Below are 22,550 nucleotides of genomic sequence, written 5' to 3'. Positions count from 1 at the left end.
AAACTTTTCTTTTCCCGCCGAATTCTCCCACTTGCAGAGAGATTTGAGGGTGGAGCTTCCACTCTGCCCATCTGAGCTCCTATTTGTGTTTACACCCATAATACATTCCTACCCATCTGTATTTTTTTTGTTATTTTCACTTCATTCTCCACAGTCCAGGGCTCCTTCCCTCACTCCAACATGGAGATAACAGGTCAGAAAGACTCCTGCTTATTAAAAAAAAAAAAAAAAAAAAAAAAAAAAAAAAAGGAAGATGACGTGCTGGAGCTTTTCTAGAGCCGCAGCCCTATGTTTTAGTAAGAAAGAAAACATTACAGATGGATCTAGCAAAATATTTCACAATTTCCTCCACTGACTGCCTCCTTCTGAATGCTTAGGGAGAATAGTCATATGTAATATGTGGACAACGAGCTCTCGTCCAAGAACTACTGAATCAAAAACACAGGAGTAGCAAACAGGGAAATGGATATCTTTTTGTTTTTTTTAGACGGAATTTCACTCTTGTTGCCCAAGGTGGAGTGCAATGGCGCGATCTCAACTCACCACAACCTCCGCCTCCCGGGTTCAAGTGACTTCTCTCACCTCAGCCTCTCGAGTAGTTGGGACTACAGTCATGCCCCACCACCCCTGGCTAATTTTGTGTTTTTAGTAGAAACAAGGTTTCTCCATGTTGGTAAGGCTGTTCTGGAACTCCCGACCTCTGGTGATCCGCCTGCCTCAGCCTCCCAAAGTGCTGGGATGACAGGCGTGAGCCATCGTGCCTGGCCAGAACTGGATTATCTTTAAAGTCACCCAGATGGTTTTGTTTTGCTTTTTGAAACAGAGTCTCGCACTGTCACCTGGGCTGGAGTGCAGTGGCAGGCTCTTGGCTCACTGCAACCTTCTGCTCCTGGGCTCAAGCGATTCTTTTTCCTCAGCCTTTCTAGTATCTGGGATTTCAGGTGAGTACCACCATGCTCGGCTAATTTTTGTATTTTTAGTAGAGACGGAGTTTCATCATGTTGGCCAGGCTGGTCTCAAACTCCTGACCTGAAGTGATCCACTAGCCTCACCCAAAGTGCTGGGATTACAGTCGTGAGCCTGGGCTACAGAGCCAGAGCCCATCCCAAATATTAATTAATTAAATTAAAAGTATTATGTAATAACACCAATTTTTTTTTTCCCACTTCACTGCTCCACTTCCTACCCAACTCTGGGAAAAGGCAAGAGAGTGACTCACAACTGAATAAGTCACTGCTGTTTGGCTGAATAGGGATTTCAGGTGGAAGCTAACCTCTGATGCTAAGATTTACAGGTACATGTCTCATAGACAGGAGTTTAAAAATTCTCAACCTCATCTGTATAATTTAAACAAGTTTTAAGTTATCAGATTATATACAAAGAAGTCAACGACTAATGATATCCAGTGAACTAACCTACTCATCTTTACCCAAAGTCCCCCGCTCCTTTTTTTCTTTTGAGACAGTGTCTCACTCTGTTGACCAGGCTGGAGTGCAGTGGCATGATCTCGGCTCACTGCAGCCTGGGCCTCCTGGGCTCAAGTTATCCTCCTACGTCAGCCTCCAGAGTAGCTAGGATTACAGCTGTGCACCATCACGCCCGGTTAATTTTTTTTTTTTTTTTTTTTTTTGGTCAGAGATGGGGAGGTCTCATTATGTTGCTCGAACTCCTGTACTCAAGCAATCCCCTTGTCTCAGTCTCCTATAGTGCTGGGATTAGAGACGTGAGCTACTGCGCCCAGCCCCTCTGTCTTCATTACTGTGCTTCCCTCGCTAAATCTGTACATATCTCTCATTCTCCCCTTCTCTCTCTAGCTCTTGTTTTCTTGTCTTTTTCCCTGGGCTTCCGTGCCTCATTTTTGCCCCTCTCCTCTTCTGCTGTTTATCCCCTTCTTCCCTCTATTACTTCTCTTCCACCTTTTCTGCTCCATCCTCGCTACTTATTTAACCTCTTATTGCTCCTTCTCCCACAATCTTTGGATTGTCCTCAACCTCCATAGATTCCGCCTCTTCTCCCATCTCTGCGCCTCCTCTGCTCTCCCTGTTACATTCTCTCTTCCCTGTTATACATCCCTGTCCACACTTTATGGCACTCTAGACCCACAGTAGTCCTCCCTGCTGTGCTTCTCCCTCTGTCCTTGCCACCAGCACCACTCTGCTCTGTCTGCCCTGGCTCCAAACCCCTCCTCCTCTCCCTCACTCTGATGAGCCTTCCTCTTTGCTGCCCCCTCTCTTCCTTGCTGTCCTTCATCTCTCTGTACATCTAGCTTTTCTCTACATTTCTCCAGTTGCTTTTCTCCTCCTGCTCTTTTCTTATCTCAGGTTTTCTACTGCTCTCTCTCACCTGATTCCTTTGGCCCATACAATTACAGGAGGGTTTGGAGTAAGACGTCTGCATCCCGGGGGAGCTCATTTTCCAGGGGCTGGAGCTGGGCAGGCAAGGACACCCCGTGTCACAGGACAGGCCCCGGACACCTTCCCAACGCGGGCTCAGGGGAAGCGGTGACGGCGGAGAGGAGACCTGGGGAGCAGCAGGGCCCGGCACGAGAAGGGAGGTGGGGGACGACGGCGCCTTAAGACAATGGTGGGGTCTGAAGGATCTCAGGACCAGGCAGAGGACGCAGCCTCCGCGGGACTGGGGGCACGGCGCTGCACTCGAGGGGCCGTCGAAGGCGAGGGTGGGAGGCGCCCAGGGCGGGAATCCACCTCACCTGTAAGGACTTTAAAAAGCGCGGGGCGGGAGGAGTTAGAAAAAGGTTTTGAGCAGGAAAACTACCCAATACAAAGTGTATACATTGCCCTATAGCAGCAAGACCAGAGACCGCACCAGCTTCAAGGCGATTTTAAACCCAAAAGGAAGTGAACCCCGGACTCTCAAAGGGAAGTCTCAATTTGCTCTGGGTGAAGACGGGCGAGAATTTCCAGGTCTGTGGGGACCCCACGTCCCAGGTACAGACGCGCCGGGGACCTGGGACGCACAGACTTAATATAAAACAGAGAGAAACTCACGCGCTGCCGTGGGACCTTCACTCCACGCTCTCCGCTTCCAGGTTCGCGCTGATCTGCTCGCGCAGGACAGAAGCCAGGCCTGGGCGGGGTCCAGGAGGAGGTGGGCGGGGCCTGGGCAGGCGGAAGCGGGGCGCGAGGCGGAGAGACTTTGCCCTTTAGAACCGGCAGAGGGCGGGGCCGGGGCGGGACAGAGTCAGTCTTGAGCCCAGCGCCTCCGTTTTTCGGGTTTTGGAAGGGAGACTGGCCGGGAAGGCTGAGGCATGAGTCAAAAGCCCTGGAATTGTCTGGAACGGGGATGCAAACTAGAATGTGAAATGCAAAGTCCTGCCTGGGCAGAACTACGATTTCATACTGAGGGCCCACAGGACAGAACAGAAATCCTCTCCCTTTCTATTCTCCATTCACTCGGGGTCGGGGAGGGCGGGTCGGCGGTGGGGGCAGAGTCCACCCTGTGCTCAGCTTCAGAGACTTCCCTAGGGCCACCGCCTGGGATGCGGGACGGAGTGCTCAGGCCAGGGAGGAGCGAAGTCACCACCTGCTGCTTAAACACAGCAGAGATGCGGGCACTGGGGAGGGAGCCTGAGGTCCCAGCTACTCAGGAAGCAGCAGCGGGAGGGTTGCTGAGCCTGGGGTTCCAGACCAGCCTGGGCGACAAAGTAACACCCCCTCCCGCAGGGCTCCCTTCCTCGTTCTCTAACTTTTTAAAATAAAATTTTGATTGTGTGATGTAGGGATCCAACATTATTCTTTTCCATGTGAATATCAAGTTAGTTGTCCCAGCACATTTGTGGAGGAGATCTATTACTTTCTTAATTTCCTTTTTTTTTTTTTAAGACAGAGTATTTCTCTGTCGTCCAGGCTGGAGTGCAGTGGCAAGGTCTCGGCTCAGTGCAGCCTGTACACCCTGTGTTGAAGTGATTCTCCTGCCTCACCCTCCGGAATAGCTGGCATTACAAGCGCGCCACCATGTCCGGCTAATTTTTGTATAATTGGTAGAGATGGGGTTTCACCATGTTGGCCAGGCTGGTCTCAAACTCCTGACTTGAAGTGATCTGCCTGCCTTGGCCTCCCAGAGTGCTGTGATTACAGGCGTGAGCCACCATGCCTGGCACAAGAAATACTCTTTACTTCACTATTTAAATGTTGAGACAATATATTTGAAAACAAAATGATCTTCCCCCAAATGAAAAATCATCTCCACGATAATAAAGAAATAAAAATCATTTTATTAATAAATAAGCCTTAGACCAGAATGTGATGGGAAATAGAGGAAAAGAGCTAAGAGTTTGAAATCAGATGCTTCAGTGTTCTATACAACCCATTAAGGACATGTTTTCAAGATAAACACTAATCAGTCCTCAGGGAAGAGGACACATAGTTGAACAGTCACACATAGTTCATCCTGACTCTACTTGGTAATGGAGGTGACCATCTGTGTCAGCTAACTAGCGTCATCCTGAGGGAGGGGGAGAAACCCTAACCCACAACTTTTGGCAAGTGTGAGTTTTACAACATGGCGACAGGGGCCCTCTCTGGTGAGGCTCCTACAATCCGACAGAAACTGATGTCAGCAGTAAATAATAAAATTTAGAATATATGATTAAGTACAGAATTTATTTGAAGGCAAAGCTTGGAAATAGCCACGTGGAAACATCAACTCTAAATGAATGGGATCAGCGTTCCCAAGTAGAGACGTTAAGATTTCACACACAGGGAAAGACAGAGAAGCTTTAGCAGAATCACCACGTTTTTTATTCTGGGCCAGTGCATAGGCTGCAGCAACTTGATTGATTACGGATAGATACACTTCAAGGAAGGTTACTTTATCACTACATAAGAAGGGACAATGATCCGAGGAGGTCTTATCTCTGGGGCTACTTAGTCTTCTTAATTACTTACAGGAAAACTCTTAGAAGTTGCACCTGCATTCCACTGGACTCAGGTTGCCTGACCACATTCCTCTCAAGGCTCAGAATTATCTCAAAGTCCATAGCCTTAAATTGAAGTTATTTGATGTTTGAATTATTTAATTTCCTACTGAGATAAAGGTACTGTTTCCCTTGTTGTTTGCCTTTCAAAGAGAGCTCCCAAGTCCTTCAAAAATACACCCCTGGGTCATTAAGCTGAAAAAAGGTTTAATTTCTAAAAAAAAAAAACAAAGTTAGCCGGGCATAGTGGTTCATACCTGTAATCCCAGCTACTCGGGAAGCTGAGGCAGGAGAATCGCTTGAACTCGGGAGACGGAGGTTGTGGTGAGGCGAGATCGTGGCTTGCACTCAAGCCTGGGTAACAAGAGAAAAACTCTGTCTAAAAAAAAAAACCTCAGAAGACAGAGAAAATGAATTTACAAATTTTCTAATTGAATGTTCTAAGAGACAAAAGGAAAGAAAAATCTCTTCCTTTACTTTTAAAGGAGGACTTATACCTCTCATTTATTTGCTTGTTTGAGACAGGGTCTAGCTTTTTCACCCAGGCTGGAGTGTGGTGGCAAGATCAGAGCTCACTGCAGCCTCCAACTTTCTGGCTCAAGTGATCCTCCCACCTCAGCACCCCAAGCAGCTGGGACCACAGGTGTGGACTAACACACCTGGCTGTTTTTTTTTATTTTTAGTAGAGATGAGGTCTTACTATGTTGCCTAGGCTGATTTCGAATTCCTGGGCTTAAGCGATCCTCCCTCCTTGGCCTCTCAAAGTGCTGGGATTACAGGTGTGAGCCACCGCTCCGGGCCCTGAGTTTATTTCCATGAAATATGAAATTATCCTCCACTCCTGGGAGTAATAGGCAGTTTTGCACGTCACCTTTCAGTTTCCATTATCCACTCAAACAACCCAGGACCTTGCTTAGTTTAATAATCCCTTCTAATTGCCAGTGCCCGCGGCAACCAGCGCGCCACTCCACCCCTTTACCGAGGTCCCTGCCCCTCTCCCCCACCCTGCCCCAGACAGAGGGGAGCTCGCCCCGCCTGCCGGATGCGTGACTCTACCTGCTCAAAAAAGGCGCTTTGCATTAAAACCATTTTCAACTTAAGAGGAAAAACGATTCAGCGTTCAGTACAGGTGGCCCAACACAATATGTTGTTTTACCTTCGATTGTTTGAAATATTAACTTAGGGGCCGGGCGCGGTGGCTCGCGCCTGTAATCCCAGCACTTTGGGAGGCCGAGGCGGGCGGATCACGAGGTCAGGAGATCGAGACCATCCTGGCTAACACAGTGAAACCCCGTCTCTACTGAAAATACAAAAAATTAGCCAGGCATGGTGGCGGGCGCCTGTAGTCCCAGCTACTCGGGAGGCTGAGGCAGGAGAATGGCATGAACCCGGGAGGCGGAGCTTGCAATGAGCCGAGATCGCGCCACTGCCCTCCAGCCTGGGCGACAGAGCAAGTCTCTAAAATGGACAGGAGGCATCCCTGTGATATTAGGGGTAATATCACGGCACATCAGAAACTATCCACCAATTAGTACCCGGAGAATCTAGTCCTGCAGGGCAAGAGGATGACAGCAGACGACACCTGGGGTCCAGCTGAGGAGAAAGCCAGGACCCGCCCCCTCGAGACCCTGCCCTTCAAAACACCACTTCCAGACCTTGCCCTCAAGATGACGATCACCCTCTGGCCCGGCCTCCAGGCAGCCTCCTCATTCTTGCCCCGCCCAGATTCTGTTCAAGGCCCTGCCCCTTCTAATCAGGTCCCACCCCAACGGCCACCTACACACTCTCATAGCCAGGTGTGGCTGTGATCTATCAGCCTTGGGCTCCCAAAGTGCTGGGATTACAGGCATGAGCCACCCCACCTGGCCCAATCTTCTTAACATAAACACTTTAATGTAAATTAATTCTTAAACTCAAGGTTAAGTCAACTCAATCTCAAGTCAATGCCTATTTGGCTCTAATGTCAATTAAAGCTTTATGATCTTCTATAGTCACTGTATTTGGAACAGTTATCTCAAAAATGAATTTTCTGATGTTCTGCATGGAGTGCCCACAGACTGAAGACCTTGCCACACTTAAGACATTTGTAAGATTTCTGTCCAGTATGGATTCTCTGATGTCTAATGAGGTGTGAACGTGAAGTCAAGACTTTGCCACAATCATCACACTTGTGAGGTTTCTCTCCTGTATGAATTCTCCTATGTTTTGCATAGGATGAAGCTTGACTGAAGACCTTGCCACAGTCATGATATTTGTAAGGTTTCTCTCCAGTATGAGTTCGCTGATAAACTGCAAGATATGATCGATGTCTGAAAATTTTACCACATTTATTACACTTGTAAGATCTGTCTTCATTATGGATTCTCCAGTGATTTGCAATGGTTGTAGCATTACTGAAGACTTTGTGACAATCATTACATTTGCAAAGTTTCCCTACACCATGGATTGCTTGATGATAAAAAAGTGACGACTTCCCACTTAAGGCTTTGCCCCACTCATTACACTTGTAAGGTTTCTCTCCAGTATAAACTCTCTGATGTTGTGCAAGGTTTGATTGTTGATTAGAAACCTTAGACAGTATGAAGTCTATGATGACATGCAAGGTGTGCTTTTCTACTAAAAACCTTGCCACATTCATTACATGTGTAAGGTTTCTTTCCAGTATGAATTGCCTTATGCATTACAAGGGCTGAATTTTGAGCAAAGGTCTTTCCATACTCGTGAAATGTGTAAGGTTCTCTCCAGTATGAACTCTCTGATGTTGTGCAAGGCATAAATCATGGTGGAAAACCTTGTCACAACCCTTACATTTGTAAGATTTCCCTCCAGTATGAAGTCCATGATGTGCAAGGTTTGCTTTTCTACTAAAAGCCTTGCCACATTCGTTACATGTGTAACATTTCTCTCCAGTATGAACTCTTACGGCATGAAAGGCATGAATTATCCCAGAAAGCCTTGTCACAAACCTTACGTTTGTATGGTTTTTCTCCAGTATGAATTCTCCTGTGTGTTTCAAGTTGTGATCCTCAACTCTAAACTTTGTTGCATTCTTCACATTTGTAATGTTTCTGTACAGTATGAAGTCTATGATGACACTGAAGGGATGACTTCTGATTGAAGGTCTTGGAACACTCATTACACTTGTAAGGTTTTTCTCCAGTATGAACACTATGGTGCCATGCAAGGTATTGCTTCTGATGAAAGACTTTGCCACATACATCACATTTATACTGTTTCTCTCCTGAATGGGTTACGTGATGTCTCCTTAAACATGAGCTATGATTAAAGGCTTTGCCACACTCATTACATTGGAAAGGTTTTTCCCTCATGTGTACTTCTTGTATTTGTGTGAATAATGAAGAATAGAGGAAATTCTTCCCATACTTAATAGAAATATGGGTTTTGAGCCTACAAATTATTTGGGATGTTGAAGCTGAGGAAGCATCATTGATAGACTTCTCCACTTGATTACCAATTTTCCCTTGGGTCTGAAACATGTGGAGTTCAGGCAGATGCGAATGAAAGCTTGATCCAAGCTGATCTTTAATAGGCTTGTTTCCAGCATGTCTTTGATCACGTCAGTCTGTACTACCTGTCAACTCTTTGGTTTCTGTCATGGGTGCTTCATGGCCATTTCTTTAAATTTCTTGCCACTGAAACTCAAAGTGATGAATATCTTTCTTGATTTCTGGGAAGCAAAAATCTCCAGTGTGATGACTTTCATGTATTTGCAACGTCCCTGTGTGAATCACTTCTCCTGTATTACCGTGCCCAGTTGATGAGAACTCCATCATGGATTTTAAAGAGCTATCTAAAAAATATAAAGACCAATAGGTTTCCAATTAAGTACAGATGGTAGGCCAGGTGCAGTGGCTCACACCTGTAGTCCCAGCACTTTGGGAGGACGAGGCAGGTGGATCACAAGGTCAGGAGCTCGAGACCATCCTCGCTAACATGGTGAAACCCTATCTGTACTAAAAATACAAAAAAATTAGCCAGGTGTAGTGATAGGTGCCTATAGTCCTAGCTACTTGGGAGGCTGAGGCAGGAGAATGGCGTGAACCCTGGAGGCAGAGCTTGCAGTGAGGCGAGATCATGCCACTGCACTCCAGCCTGGGTGACAGAGCAATAATCCATCTCAAAAAAAAAAGTACAGATGGTAAATAATAGTTAATATTGAAATGTGTAAATATTACACAAAAAGCAACAGTTATTTTAAACGTCCCAAAAGTGATCTTCAAAGTTTAAGAACACCTTATCTCTACTAAAAATACAAAAATTTGCCAGGCATGGTGGTGGGCGGCTGTAATTCCAGCTACTTGGGAAACCAAGGCAGGAGAATCACTTGAACCCAGGAGGCGGAGGTTGCAGTGAGTGGAGATCATGCCATTGCACTCCAGCCTGGGCAACAAGAGCAAAATTCCATGTCCAGAAAAAAAGAGTTCAGTCAAGAGCCTCCTATATATGAGGCAGTGAGCCTGAATGATGTCCTCCGTAGGAGGAATTTCTACAGCAGTGACTGCTGCTTAGAGAAGATGATCATTAGTTTATGTGATGAACACTGTCACAGTGCCAGTGAAAGATGCTTCTGTGATGCTCCTCAAAAACCAGAACGGGCCAGGTGCGGTGGCTCATGCCTGTAATCCCAGCACTTTGGGAGGCCAAGGTGGGCAGATCACCTGAGGTCGGGAGTTCGAGACCAGCCTGACCAACATGGAGAAACCCTGTCTCTATTAAAAATACAGAAATAGCCGGGCTTGGTGGCACATGCCTGTAATCCCAGCTGCTAGGCAGGTTGAAGCAGGAGAATCGCTTGAACCTGGGAGGTGGGGGTTGCAGTGAGCCGAGATCGCACCATTGCACTCCAGCCTGGGCAACAAGAGTGAAACTCTGTCTCAAAACAAAAAACAAAAAACAAAAAAAACAGAACAAAAGGCCAGGTGCGGTGGCTCATGCCTATAATCCCAACACCTGGATGGAGGCTGAGGCAGGCGGATTGCTTGAGACCAGGAGTTCAAGACCAGCCTGGCCAACATGGTCATATCCCATCTCTAATAAAAATACAAAATTAGTCCCCTCTCCCTCTCCCTCTCCCCATGGTCTCCCTCTCCCTCTCTTTCCAGGGTCTCCCTCTGATGCCGAGCCGAAGCTGGACGGTACTGCTGCCATCTTGGCTCACTGCAACCTCCCTGCCTGATTCTCCTGCCTCAGCCTGCTGAGTGCCTGTGATTGCAGGCGCGCGCCGCCACGCCTGACTGGTTTTCGTATTTTTTTGGTGGAGACGGGGATTCGCTGTGTTGGCCGGGCTGGTCTCCAGCTCCTAACCGGGAGTGATCCGCCAGCCTCGGCCTCCCAAGGTGCCGGGATTGCAGACGGAGTCTCGTTCACTCAGTGCTCAATGGTGCCCAGGCTGGAGTGCAGTGGCGTGATCTCGGCTCGCTACAACCTCCACCTCCCAGCCGCCTGCCTTGGCCTCCCAAAGTGCCGAGATTGCAGCCTCTGCCCGGCCACCACCCCATCTGGGAAGTGAGGAGCGTCTCTGCCTGGCCGCCCATCGTCTGGGATGTGAGGAGCCCCTCTGCCTGGCTGTCCAGTCTGGAAAGTGAGGAGCGTCTCTGCCCGGCCGCCCATCGTCTGAGATGTGGGGAGCACCTCTGCCCTGCCACCCCGTCTGGGATGTGAGGAGCGTCTCTGCCCGGCCGCCCCGTCTGAGAAGTGAGGAGACCCTCTGCCTGGCAGCCACCCCGTCTGATAAGTGAGAAGCCCCTCCGCCCGGCAGCCGCCCCGTCTGAGAAGTGAGAAGCCCCTCCGCCCAGCAGCCACCCCGTCTGGGAAGTGAGGAGCGTCTCCTCCCGGCAGCCACCTCGTCCCGGAGGGAGGTGGGGGGGTCAGCCCCCCGCCCGGCCAGCCACCCCATCTGGCAGGTGAGGGGCGCCTCTACCCAGCCGCCCCTACTGGGAAGTGAGGAGCCCCTCTGCCCGGCCAGCCGCTCCCTCCGGGAGGGAGGTGGGGGGGTCAGCCCCCCGCCAGGCCAGCCGCCCCATCCGGGAGGTGAGGGGCGCCTCTGCCCGGCCGCGCCTACTGGGAAGTGAGGAGCCCCTCTGCCCAGCCACCACCCTGTCTGGGAGGTGTACCCAACAGCTCATTGAGAACGGGCCATGATGACAATGGCGGTTTTGTAGAATAGAAAGGGGGGAAAGGTGGGGAAAAGATTGAGAAATCGGATGGTTGTGGTGTCTGTGTAGAAAGAGGTAGACATGGGAGACTTTTCATTTTGTTCTGTACTAAGAAAAATTCTTCTGCCTTGGGATCCTGTTTATCGGTGACCTTACCCCCAACCCTGTGCTCTCTGAAACATGTGCTGTATCCACTCAGGGTTGAATGGATTAAGGGTGGTGCAAGATGTGCTTTGTTAAACAGATGCTTGAAGGCAGCATGCTCCTTAAGAGTCATCACCACTCCCTAATCTCAGGTACCCAGGGACACAAACACTGCGGAAGGCCGCAGGGTCCTCTGCCTAGGAAAACCAGAGACCTTTGTTCACTTGTTTATCTGCTGACCTTCCCTCCACTATTGTCCTGTGACCCTGCCAAATCCCCCTCTGTGAGAAACACCCAAGAATGATCAATAAAAAAAATAAAAATAAAATAAAAATAAAAAAAATACAAAATTAGCCAGGTATGGTGACATGCATCTGTAATTTCAGTTAGGTTGGGAGGCTCAGGTATGTGAATTGCTTGAGCCCAGAAGGTGGAGGTTGCAATGAGCTGAGATCACGACACTGCACTCCAACCTGTTCAACACTCTGTCTCATAAAAACAAAATGAAACAAAAAACACAAAACCACAAGCGCAGCTGGAAACACTTGTCAGTCAGTGTGATGCTTTCTATCTCATATCCTGGGCCATGGTGACAATTCCGCTCAGGGCCTCCAGGGGCATCTCTGCCTAGAGCAGGATGATGTTCAATCTTATTAGTCAAAGTGTTCTTCATGAATTTTCTGGTTTTATGTAAAACCACTCCATAAGGGAGTCTCTAAGAAGCTGTCCATGACAAATATGAGGGTCATCACTGTAGAAAACAATGACATGTACATGAAAAGCATGTATGGGGCAACATCACAAAAGAGAATACAAAACCAGGAAGAGCCAAGATAGACAAGGGCAGATTCCTCATGTCTGGAGGGATATTTTCCTCACCCACAAACTCCAGGTTCCTGTAGTTCTCCAACATCACTTCCCTGTATAAAGCCCTCTGTGCAGGGTTCAGGCATTTCCACTCCTCCAAAGAGAAATCTATAGCCACATCCCTGAAAGTCTAGTGTCCCTAAAATGAAAGACAGATTTCAACAAAACATTAGGGAGGAGTGAGTCATCACCTTCACATGAAATGAGAAAAGAGAAAATAAGTATCGATTTGATCCAAGACGGTGTTCTGACAAAGCCGCATTAAGGTATTTTTGAACAGTTTTTTCTGTATAGTTGCATTTTATTGCACTTTTCCTTGATAGATTTTAAAATCCCCTAAGTCACTGTGGAAGTCTCAGTTTTATGGACAATATAAAAAATATATGGCCAGGTGCAGTGCCTCAGGCCTGGAATCCCAGTACTTTGGGAGGCCAAGGCAGGTGGATCACCTGACTTGAGGAGTTTGAGACCATCCAGGGTAACATGGTGAAACCCCATCTCTACTAAAAGTACAAAACTTAGCTGGGCGTGGTGGCACCTGCCTGTAATCCCAGCTACTTGAAGGCTGAGGCAGGAGAATTGCTTGAACACAGGTGTGGTGGTGCCCACCTCTAATCCCAGGTACTTGGGAGGCTGAGGCAGGAGAATTGCTTGAGCCCCAGAGGCGAAGGTTGCAGTGAGCTGAGATTGTGCCACTGCAACTCAGCTTGGGCTGCAGAGTTAGACTCTGTCAAAAAACAAACAAACTATATATATATATGGCCGGGCATTGGGGCTCACACCTGTAATCCCATCACTTTGGGAAACCAAGGTGGGTGGATTACTTAAGGTCAGGAGTTCAAGAACAACCTGGCCAACATGGTGAAAACCTGTATCTACTAAAAATATAAAAATTTGCTAGGCACGGTGGGGGAAAGCGCCTGTAATCCCAGCTATTTGGGAAGCTGAGGCAGAAAAATCGATAGAACTCTGGAGGCAGAAGTTGCTGTAAGCCGAGATCGCACCACTGCACTCCAGCCTGGGCAACAGAGTGAGACTCTCAAAATAAAATATATGTATATATATACTGAAAATAATGTATTTTCTACATAAAACATGGGCTTGGCCAGGCGTGGTGGCTCACACCTATAATCCCAGCACTTATGGAGGCCGAGATGGGTGGATCAGGAGGTCAAGAAATCAAGAGCATCCTGGCCAACATGGTAAAACCCCGTCTCTATTAAAAATACAAAAATTAGCTGGGCATGGTGGTGCGTGCCTGTAGTCCCAGCTACTCAGCAGGGCGAGGCAGGAGAATCTTTTGAAATCAGGAGGTGGAGGTTGAAGTGAGCCTAGATGGCGCCACTGCACTTTAGCCTGATGACAGAATGAGACTGTCTCAAAAAACAAACAAACAAAAAATCATAGGCTTCTCCATTAATGCTCTCCTGTACACACTACAAATCACACCCACACACACTTAAATTAACTTCAGTTAGGAGATTATAAGCAAAAACCTAGAGAGGACACATCCACAGATACATGCCAGGCTGAGGTGGGAGGATCGCTTGAGCCTGGAGAGCAGAGGATAAAGTGACCCAAGATTGTACCACTGTCCTCCAGCCTGAGGGACACAGTGAGACCCCATCACCTCCAACCCAAACAATGTTGGAAACTCATTGAGTTAAGAGACAGCTTCAAGAAATCATAAAAGCAATGCATGAAGAAAATGAGAAGGTCAACCAACGTATGGAAATTATGAAGAACTACACAGAAACCCTAGGGCTAAACATACAGTAACTAAGTAGAAAAACTCAATACATGGGTTCAAAATCAGAATTCATTATGTAAATTAAAAATTAGTGAAGAGGGGACTGGCAAGGTGGCTCACACCAGGACTTGAAAGCCGAGGTGGGTGGATCACCTGAGGTCAGGAGTTTGCAGAACAGCCTGGTCATTATGGCAAAACCCTGTCTCTACTGAAAATACAAAGATTAGCTGGTTGTGGTGGTGAGCTCCTGTAGTCCCAGCTACTCTAGAGGCTGAGGCAGGAGAAGCACTTGAGCATGGGAGGCAGAGGTTGCAGTGAGCTGAGATCGCCCCACTGTACTCCAGCCTGGGCAACAGAGCAAGACTGTCTCAAAAAAAAAAAAACAATAAAAAAAACAGGCCAGGCACGGTGGCTCATGCCTGAAATCCCTGCACTTTGGGAGGCCAAGGTGGGTGGATCACCTGAGGTCGGGAGATCGAGACCAGCCTGACCAACATAGAGAAACCCTGTCTGTATGAAAAATATAACAATTAGGCAGGTGTAGTGGTGCGCACTTGTAATCTCAGCTACTTGTGAAGCTGAGGTAAGAGAATCACTTAAACCCAGGTGACAAAGGCTGGAGGTGAGCTGAGTTTGCACCACTGCACTCCAGCCTGGCAACAGAGCAAGACTTCATCTCAAAAAAATTTTTTTAAAGTACCAGAAGTCCCAGAAGACAGTGAGAGGAAGAAAGGAATAGAAAAGCCTGTTGGAAGATATTAATGGCCAAAAATTTCTAATTTCAGAAGCCAAAAGAAATTATGGCCATCATGGTGAAACACCATCTCTCTTAAAAATACAAAACTTAGCTGGGAGTGGTGGCACCTGCCTGTCATCCCAGCTACTCGGGAGGCTGAGGCAGAAAAACTGCTTGAACCCGGGAGGTGGAGGCTGCAGTCAGCCAAGATCGTGCCATTACACTCCAGCCTGGGTGACAAGAGCAAAACTCCGTCTTAAAAGAAAAAAAAAAAAAGCAGGCATGTGAAAGAACGTTTCTGTTTTATCCTAAAAAAATGCATAATGTGAACAAAACACCAGGGCAAAAATAAAGAACTAAAGAATACAAAATAGCTCTCAAAACACATGAAAAGTATGCTCAGCAAAGTATTAAAATCTATTTTAAATATACAAGTCCATGATTAATGACATCTACTCAGACTCTCAAGGAATAGAAAATATAAATAAAAAGGGCTTTCATTTTCACCGAATGCAAAAAAGAACATGGTGGTAAGACCACAGGAGTAAGATTTGCTTAAAAGAGTGAGAAATTTCTCATGTTCTCAGTCAGAGAGGGCACCTCTGCAGCTGGGGGTCTGGATGGAATCTTCCCAGATGTAAAAGAGGAAATAGCAAATCCAAAAAGAAGTAATCAGTTTTGCAGGAATTCTCCAGATATCTGCAGTGAAGTCACCATGCTCACAGGCAGCCAGTGTGTTATTCTTGGTAACAGTGAAAAACCGTCAAGGAGATTACATGAAGTCAGGGGTTTGAGACCAGCCTGGCCAACAGGGTGAAAACCTGTCTCTACAAAAAATACAAAATTAGCCAAGCCTGGTGGTGGACACCTGTAATCCCAGATACTTGAGAGGCTGAGGCATGAGAATCGCTTGACCCTGGGAGGTGGAGGTTGCAGTGAGCCCAGATTGCTCCAGTGAACTCCAGCCTGGGCAATAGAGGCAGATGGAATTTAAGATGAGAGGGACTGAGAAAAGGCATGGGTGAGTGCGAGCAAACTTGTGAGTTAGGACGCTTCAGAATCACAGAAGACTGGCTACCACAATACCTGGTATTTAAGAAAACAAGGAGACAGAAGAATCCACCGAGGAATATCACTTTACCTGAGGAAGAGCCGTCCCTGGCTCCTTTTCTTTGCCCTTCTTGGTGGCTTCCTTACATAGCATGAGTCTTTGGAAATCAATCCTGTGTGTAAAAAAATATGAGATTTAATTTTTCTTTTTTTTTTTTTTGAGATGGTGTCTAGCTCTGTCACAAGAATGTGGTTCAGTGGCATGACCTCAGCTCACTGCAACCTCTGCCTCCCTGGTTCTAGTGATTCTCCTGCCTCAGCCTCTTAAGTAGCTGGGATTACAGGCATGCGCTGCCAGGCCCAGCTAATTTTTCTATTTTTACTAGAGATGGGGTTTTACCATGTTGGCCAGGATGGTCTCGATCTCCTGACCTTGAGATCTGCCCACCCAACCCTCCCAAAGAGCTGGGATTCCAGATGTGAGCCACTGCACCCAGCTGAGATTTAGTGTTTAGAAATCACTCCCTCCTTTCCTGTGACAAAACACACACACAGGGGAGACCTCACCAGGGACAAAGATGGTCCTCTGCTGCCCACTGCACCAGAGATTATGCAGACATAAGGACATCCCACAGGAAGACCTACAAGGGTAATTTTGACTTGTTTTTGGATTTTGCTCCCCTGATGGAAAAGTCCACGCACACGATGCAGCAAGACACAGATCTTCAGGACACAGATCTGGCCCTAACCAAACCCCATGCAGAGCACAGCCCCCTCACCTCCCTGTGGATCACAGGCTGATCTCAGTTCTCAATATGGAGGAAACTGCCTTGATGTTCAATGCTGGACACAGATGAGAATCACCAGTGCCATTGTATTATTGAGGGTGTGTCCCATCCTATGATAATAGCAATCTTTGATAAAACAGAACAAAAGATATATTTGCAAAATGCCTGAAAACTGTAATGTGAAGTCAGGGTTGAGCTCCACTCAGATGGCGCCAGCCCAGCACAGCCCCACCTTCTGATTCTGCTCTCCGCTTACGGACTTGTTCTCACCAGGATCCAGTGAACGGTGAAGGAGCTAAAAGAATCACACAGAACAGGCAACATGGACCAGAGGTGGGGGTGAAGGTGGCGCTGCAATGTCAAGTGGGGGGCTGTGGGAGATCACAAAGGTTTCCATAGAGAAAGTAATATCAGAACAAAGACTTAGGGAAGAAAGGCTGCTTGTCACTTGCAGTTGAGGGGCCAGAGAGTCCTAGGCAGAGGGACAGCCCAGGAGAAGTCCCTGAGATAGGAGCAACCTCAGTCCCAGAAAAAGGAAAGAGGCCTGTATGGCTGGAGCAGAGGGAGTGAGGAGGACACAGGCAGGAGATGAAGTCAGAGGGGTCCCGGGAGCACAGATCCCTAAGGATGAGGCCTTGAAACATTTTTCTCCCACACCTCAAAATAAATTTGGAAATGATGTACTTTCTCACTCCTTTCATGTATACATGTAATTTTCTCTTTACATTATAAATTACAACACTTACAAATAATGTAATTTATTTTCCATATTTAAAATACATGGTGTCAACCTCAGCTAAGCACCCAGAAGTACACTGTCACCCTCATCTGAGATGTGTAGGACTGTAAGGGAATGTGTTTGGGGGTTTAGGAAGTCACTTATAGACACATGAAGGTGGAGATGCCTGTTTGATGTCCCAGCAGAGAGCTGCGGAGACAACTGCACACAGGATTGTAGAGCTCCGGGGCGAGGCCTGCAGGGGACACGGAGCCATGTAGGTGGGTCAAAGCCATGAGATGATAAGGTTCAAGGTGATTTGAGTCTAATCCTGTTTTTCGGAGGACTGGAATCCTTTAAAGTTCAAACTACAACTAAATACCTCCCTGTCCTACAGGAAAAGCCACACACTCCATTGTGCCCATCATTTCAGGGGTCAGTGTCACTCTGACTGAGCTTTTCTGGTCTTCTCCCTCACCTGTATATTACAGGTGGGCTCACTGAGGTTCACAGCGGGGGACGTTTCACCAAGTTATCCTGAGAAGCTCCGAGTTTTGTAAGAAGGAAGAGTCGCTGATTTTCATGTGATGGCCAGGAAGGGTCAACAGGCTGCGTTGGCCATCCTTCTACAAAATGCCAGGACTGGCTACGTGTGGTGGCTCACTCCTGTAATCCTAGCACTTTGGAAGGCCAAAGCAAGCGGATCAGTTAAGCCGAGGAGTTTGAGACAAACCTGGCAAAATGGTGAAACCCGTCTCCTGGATAGAGGAGAATCGGCCTCACAAAGTGCTGGGATGACAGGCATGAGCCACCGCGTTCAGTCTACATATACATTTTTTTTTTTAAATTAAGAAATAAGGCGGGCATGGTGGCTCAAGCCTGTAATCCCAGCACTTTGGGAGGCTGATGCTCTTGGATCGCTTTAGCCCTGCAGTTGGAGCCCAACCTAGACAACAAGGCAAAACCCGGTCTCTACCAAGAACACAAAAATTGGCGCGGTGTGGTGGCGCGCGGCTGTGGTCCCAGCTACTCTGCAGGCTGAGGTGGGAGGATCCCTTGAGCCCAGGAGGTTGAAGCTGCAGTGAGCTGTGATCCGGTCACCGCTCTTCGGCCTGCGCAGCAGAGTAAGACCCCATCTCCATCAAAAAAACAAAAACAAAAACAAAAAAAACCACATGGGTCCTGGGTCTAGGGAGGCAGGGAATCTAAAACCAATTAACGCGAACTTTCCAAAACTAGACTAAAAGGAAAAACCCCATCTTCCCACCCAAAGTAACAAAGGATCAAAGGCTACTCTCCCTAACACCCTCCCCCTTCCACCAGGTCGCAGGTGGAAAGAGAAAGAGCCCAGGAGTGGCCAAGGCCAAGCACCGGCCACCCCTTCATCTGCATAGGGCACCCATCTGCTCTGGCCTCAGGCCAATTTACCTCAGTTATTTCCTTGGCCAAGGGCCAAATTCTTCATCCAGATAAGGGGTAGCCCATAGGGACCTCAAAAAAAAATAACCTCCAAAAACTTTGTAAATGGGGCCCTGGAGACGCTCGCTTGGGCCCACCCCCACCCTGTGGGGTGCTTTCTTGGTTGAGTAAATTTCTGCTTTCGCCGCTTCATTCTTTTGTTACTTTGTGGGGTTTTTTTTTTTTTCTTCAATTCTATGTTTAATATCCATCTACCTGGAAACTTCACATTCCAGGCCTGCCTTCCGGGAACAACAGGGCGAGGGTGGAAAAAGAGGGTTGCCTCCAGGAGAAGCACGTTTTCCTGGGGTTGGAACTGGGGAGAAGCAGGGCCGGCACGAGGAGGGAGGTGGTGGGCGATGGCGCCTTCGGACAGGGGTGGGGTCTGCAGGATCCCAGGACCAGGCAGAGGACGCGGCCTTCCCGGGAGTGGGGCTGCAGCGCTGCCCTCCAGGCGCCGATGAGGAGCCCAGGGCGAGAGTCCAACTCGCTGGTGAGGACCTGAAACAGCGCGAGGCGGGAGGACGGGTCGGGAAGGGTTTTGAGAAGGAAAGTTTCGCTACAGGAGGTGTCTGCACGGCCCTACTGCAGAAAAGACCGGGACGGGACCAGCCTCAGGGCGACTTTAAACTCAAAAGGAAAAGACTCACGGACTCCCACCCGGACGTCTCAATTTGCTCTGAGTTGAGAAAGAGGGGCCGGAATTTCCAGGTCTGTGGAGACACCCACGTCCCCGGTATAGCAGTACCAGAGAACTGGGAAGCGCAAACTCAACGGGGCAACCTTCAGTCCATGCCATCAGCTTCCGGGTCTGTGCCAATCAGCACAGTACAGAAGCCAGACCCGCGGGGAGACCCCCGAGGAGGTGGGCGGGGCCTGGGTCAGGCCAGACGGGAGGCGAAGAGGTGGGCGGGGCCTGAGTCAACCAAAATACTACTGGAACTAATCAACACATTCAGTGGATTTGCACAATGCAATAGCAGCACCAAAAATTAATTGAATTTCCATAAACAATAAAAAATTTAAACGAAAATTAAAAAACACTTCCATTTGCTAGAGATCTTAAAGTAAGAAATACTTAGGAATAAACATAAAAAAACTGAGAATTTCACACCTTGAAATCTACAAACATTAACCAAAATGATTAAAAACATATATATACAACCCACATTGATGGTTTGGAAAAATCAATATTGTTATTATATAAGCCAATGTGATTCAGATTCAACACAATACCTATAAAAACCCCTATTGGTTTTTGTTAAAGAAACAAAAAGCAGGCTGGGAAAAGTGACTCACGTCTGTTGGCCAGGCTGATCTCAAACTCATGACCTCAAGTGATCTATCCACCTTGGGCTCCTAAAGTGCTGGATTTACAGGCGTGAGCCACACGCCTGGCCCAATCCTCTTAACATAAACACTTTAATGTCAATTAATGCTTCAACTGAATGTTTTAAGTCAACTCAAACTCAAGTCAATTCTGAATTGACTCTACTGTCAATCCTTGATGGTTTGCTGTGCTCACCGCATTTGTAACTATTACCTCAAAAATGAACGTTATGATATTCTGCAAGGAGTAACCTCGGACTGAAGACCTTGCCACACATAGGACGTTTGTAAGATTTCTGTCCAGTATGGATCCTCTGATATCTAATGTGGTGTGAACGTGAAGTAAAGGCTTTGCTCACAATCATCACACTTGTGAGGTTTCTCTCCTGTATGAATTCTCCCGTTTTGCAAAAGATGAAGCTTGACTGAAGACCTTGCCACAATCATCACATTTGTAAGATTTCTCTCCTGTATAAGATCGCCAATGAACTGCAAGTTATGAATGATGTCTGAAAAACTTGCCACATTTATTACACTTGTAAGACCTCCTTCATTATGGATTCTCCAATGTTTTGCAATGGCTGTAATATTACTGAAGACTTTGTGACAATCATTACATTAGTCAAGTTTCCCTATACCATGGATTGCTTGATGGTGAGTAAGTGTTGACTGACCACCAAAGGCTCTGCCACACTCATTACACTTGTACAGTTCCTTTCCAGTGTGAATTCCAGTATGTTGGGCCAGGTGTGAATCACACCCGAAATCCTTGTCACAAACCTTACATTTGTATGGTTTCTCTCCAGTATGAACTCTCCTATGTATTTCAAGGAGTGATTTGAAATTGAAAACTTTTGTCACATTCTTCACATTTGTAAGGTTTCTCTCCAGTATAAAGTCTATGATGACATGCAAGGTTTGACTGTTGCCTAAAAACCTTGCAAATTTACACTTCTAAGATTTCTTTCCAGTATGAAGTCTATGATGACGTTCAAGGTTTGATTTTCGATTAAAAACCTTGCCACATTCATTACACTTGTAAGGTTTCTCTCCAGTATGAAGTCTACGATGACATGCAAGGTTTGATTTGTGATTAAAAACCTTGCCACATTCATTACACTTGTAACGTTTCTCTCCAGTATGAATGACCTTATGCATTACAAGAGATGAATTTTGAACAAAGGTCTTGCCACACTCATTACACTTGTAAGGTTTCTCTCCAGTGTGAATTACAGTATGTTGTGCCAGGTGTGAATCACGTCTGAAAGCCTTGTCACAAACCTTACATTTGTATGGTTTCTCTCCAGTGTGAATTCTCCTATGTCTTTCAAGGTGTGATTTGCGACTGAAAACTTTGTCACATTCTTCACATTTGTAAGGTTTCTCTCCAGTATGAACTCTATGATGACGTGCAAGGTTTGATTGTTGATTAAAAACCTTGCCACATTCATTACACTTGTAAGGTTTCTCTCCAGTATGAATTGCCTTGTGAACTAACAGGGCTGAATTGTGACTGAATGTCTTGCCACACTCATTACACGTGTAAGGATTCTCACCAGTGTGACATCTATGGCATGCAAGGTATCGCTTCTGATGAAAGTCCTTGCCGCATACATCACATTTATACTGTTTGTCTCCTAAATGGATTATCTGATGTTTTTTTAAGAGTGAGCTACCATTAAAGGCTTTGCCACTCTCATTACGTTGGAAAGATTTTTCTCTTGTGTGTACTTCCCGTTTTTGTGTGAGTAATGAAGACTGGAGGAAATTATTCCTATACTTATTAGAAATACGAGTTTTTGGCCTACAGGAAATTCGTTGGGATGCTGAAACTGAGAAAGCATCGTTGATAGCCTTCTCAACTTGATTACCAATTTTCCCTTCGGGGTGAAATATGTGCACTTCAGGCAGATGCGAATGAAAGCTTGATCCAAGCTCATTTTTAATAGGTTTGTTTCCAGCATGCCTTTGATCATGTCGCTCTGTACTACTCATCAACTTTTTGGTTTTTGTCATGAGTGCTTCATGGCCATTTGTTTCATTTTCTTGCCACTGAAACACAAAGTCATGAATATCTTTCTCAATTTCCTGGAAGCAAGTATCTCCAATGTGATGACTTGCATGTATTTGCAATGTCCCTGTGTGGACCACTTCTGTATTGCCTTGTCCTGTTGATGAGAACATCTTCATCATGCATTTGGAAGAGGTATCTACAAAATATAAACACAAATAGGTTTCAAATTAAGTACGGAAGTTATACAATACTGAAATGTGTAAATATTACATAAAAAACAATACTTATTTTAAACTTCCCAAACATGATCTTCAAAGTTTAGGAACACAAAAGGAGTAAGATCCTTTAATAAATAAAGGGTGATTGCATGTGCTTCAAATCATTTTTATGGAAGCCTATTTCCAATATCATGACGAAACACTGACAGGGCACAAACATGTGTAAGCCTAAAGTCAGGAGTGTTTTTCTACTGTGACCCTAAAGTGTATCACACTTTGCAAAAGACGTATCACTGTCACATCAAAGAAGAGAAAAATATATATTCTTCATATTTATAGGGTACTTAGTGTAAATAAATAAATGCT

At 46.7% G+C, this 22,550-nt stretch overlaps 1 protein-coding gene, 1 long non-coding RNA gene and 1 pseudogene across 19 annotated transcripts in view, besides 7 other annotated features; all 3 read right to left on the bottom strand.

The window, feature by feature from the left end:
* The window catches only part of LOC137778871 (uncharacterized), a 34,279-nt gene extending 31,216 nt beyond the window's left edge, over positions 1 to 3,063 (bottom strand). For all 4 annotated transcript variants that reach the window (NR_197425.1, NR_197423.1, NR_197424.1 and 1 more), the window contains exon 1: positions 3,009 to 3,063. This is a non-coding gene — a long non-coding RNA (uncharacterized LOC137778871). The remainder of the gene's footprint in view (positions 1 to 3,008) is intronic.
* Positions 2,104 to 2,183: an enhancer, noted in NCBI's record as "active region_15054". NCBI's record gives its function as "activates an Ori minimal core promoter by ATAC-STARR-seq in GM12878 lymphoblastoid cells {active_cell/tissue: GM12878}" and the evidence as "EXISTENCE:reporter gene assay evidence [ECO:0000049][PMID:35858748]".
* Positions 2,505 to 3,011: an enhancer, noted in NCBI's record as "H3K27ac-H3K4me1 hESC enhancer chr19:53104606-53105112 (GRCh37/hg19 assembly coordinates)". NCBI's record gives its function as "activates a minimal SCP1, AML or CMV promoter by ChIP-STARR-seq in naive H9 embryonic stem cells {active_cell/tissue: H9 hESC(naive)}" and the evidence as "EXISTENCE:reporter gene assay evidence [ECO:0000049][PMID:30033119]".
* Positions 2,505 to 3,023: a biological region, named in NCBI's record as "H3K27ac-H3K4me1 hESC enhancer GRCh37_chr19:53104606-53105112".
* Positions 2,844 to 2,893: an enhancer, noted in NCBI's record as "active region_15053". NCBI's record gives its function as "activates an Ori minimal core promoter by ATAC-STARR-seq in GM12878 lymphoblastoid cells {active_cell/tissue: GM12878}" and the evidence as "EXISTENCE:reporter gene assay evidence [ECO:0000049][PMID:35858748]".
* Positions 2,964 to 3,023: an enhancer, noted in NCBI's record as "active region_15052". NCBI's record gives its function as "activates an Ori minimal core promoter by ATAC-STARR-seq in GM12878 lymphoblastoid cells {active_cell/tissue: GM12878}" and the evidence as "EXISTENCE:reporter gene assay evidence [ECO:0000049][PMID:35858748]".
* Positions 3,144 to 3,203: a silencer, noted in NCBI's record as "silent region_10995". NCBI's record gives its function as "represses an Ori minimal core promoter by ATAC-STARR-seq in GM12878 lymphoblastoid cells {active_cell/tissue: GM12878}" and the evidence as "EXISTENCE:reporter gene assay evidence [ECO:0000049][PMID:35858748]".
* ZNF137P (zinc finger protein 137, pseudogene) lies at positions 4,212 to 7,680 on the bottom strand (annotated as a pseudogene). The gene is made up of 3 exons (NR_023311.1): positions 6,794 to 7,680; positions 5,559 to 6,149; positions 4,212 to 5,217 (listed from the first exon to the last, which is right to left on the bottom strand). The product of NR_023311.1 is annotated as a zinc finger protein 137, pseudogene (transcript).
* ZNF701 (zinc finger protein 701) overlaps positions 4,215 to 22,550 on the bottom strand; it is a 29,863-nt gene continuing 11,527 nt past the window's right edge. For 7 of the 14 annotated variants that reach the window (NM_001433681.1, NM_001433682.1, NM_001433684.1 and 4 more), the window contains one exon: positions 17,190 to 22,162. In NM_001433681.1, coding sequence (NP_001420610.1) covers positions 20,907 to 22,162 — 1,256 coding nt within the window. In that variant the 3' untranslated portion in view covers positions 17,190 to 20,906. Of the gene's footprint in view, positions 8,748 to 12,135; positions 12,263 to 15,750; positions 15,833 to 16,438; positions 22,163 to 22,550 lie in introns of those variants that run through there. The other 7 variants (XM_047439071.1, XM_047439075.1, XM_047439077.1 and 4 more) reach the window with 6 other exon arrangements.
* Positions 15,860 to 16,079: a silencer, noted in NCBI's record as "fragment chr19:53091538-53091757 (GRCh37/hg19 assembly coordinates)". NCBI's record gives its function as "represses an EF-1alpha promoter that drives an FKBP-Casp9 reporter gene in an ReSE screen in K562 erythroleukemia cells {active_cell/tissue: K562}" and the evidence as "EXISTENCE:reporter gene assay evidence [ECO:0000049][PMID:32094911]".

This window comes from Homo sapiens, chromosome 19 (genome assembly GCF_000001405.40).
Source record: "Homo sapiens chromosome 19, GRCh38.p14 Primary Assembly".
Lineage (NCBI taxonomy): Eukaryota > Metazoa > Chordata > Mammalia > Primates > Hominidae > Homo > Homo sapiens.
This window is presented reverse-complemented; position numbering and strand designations above follow the sequence as displayed.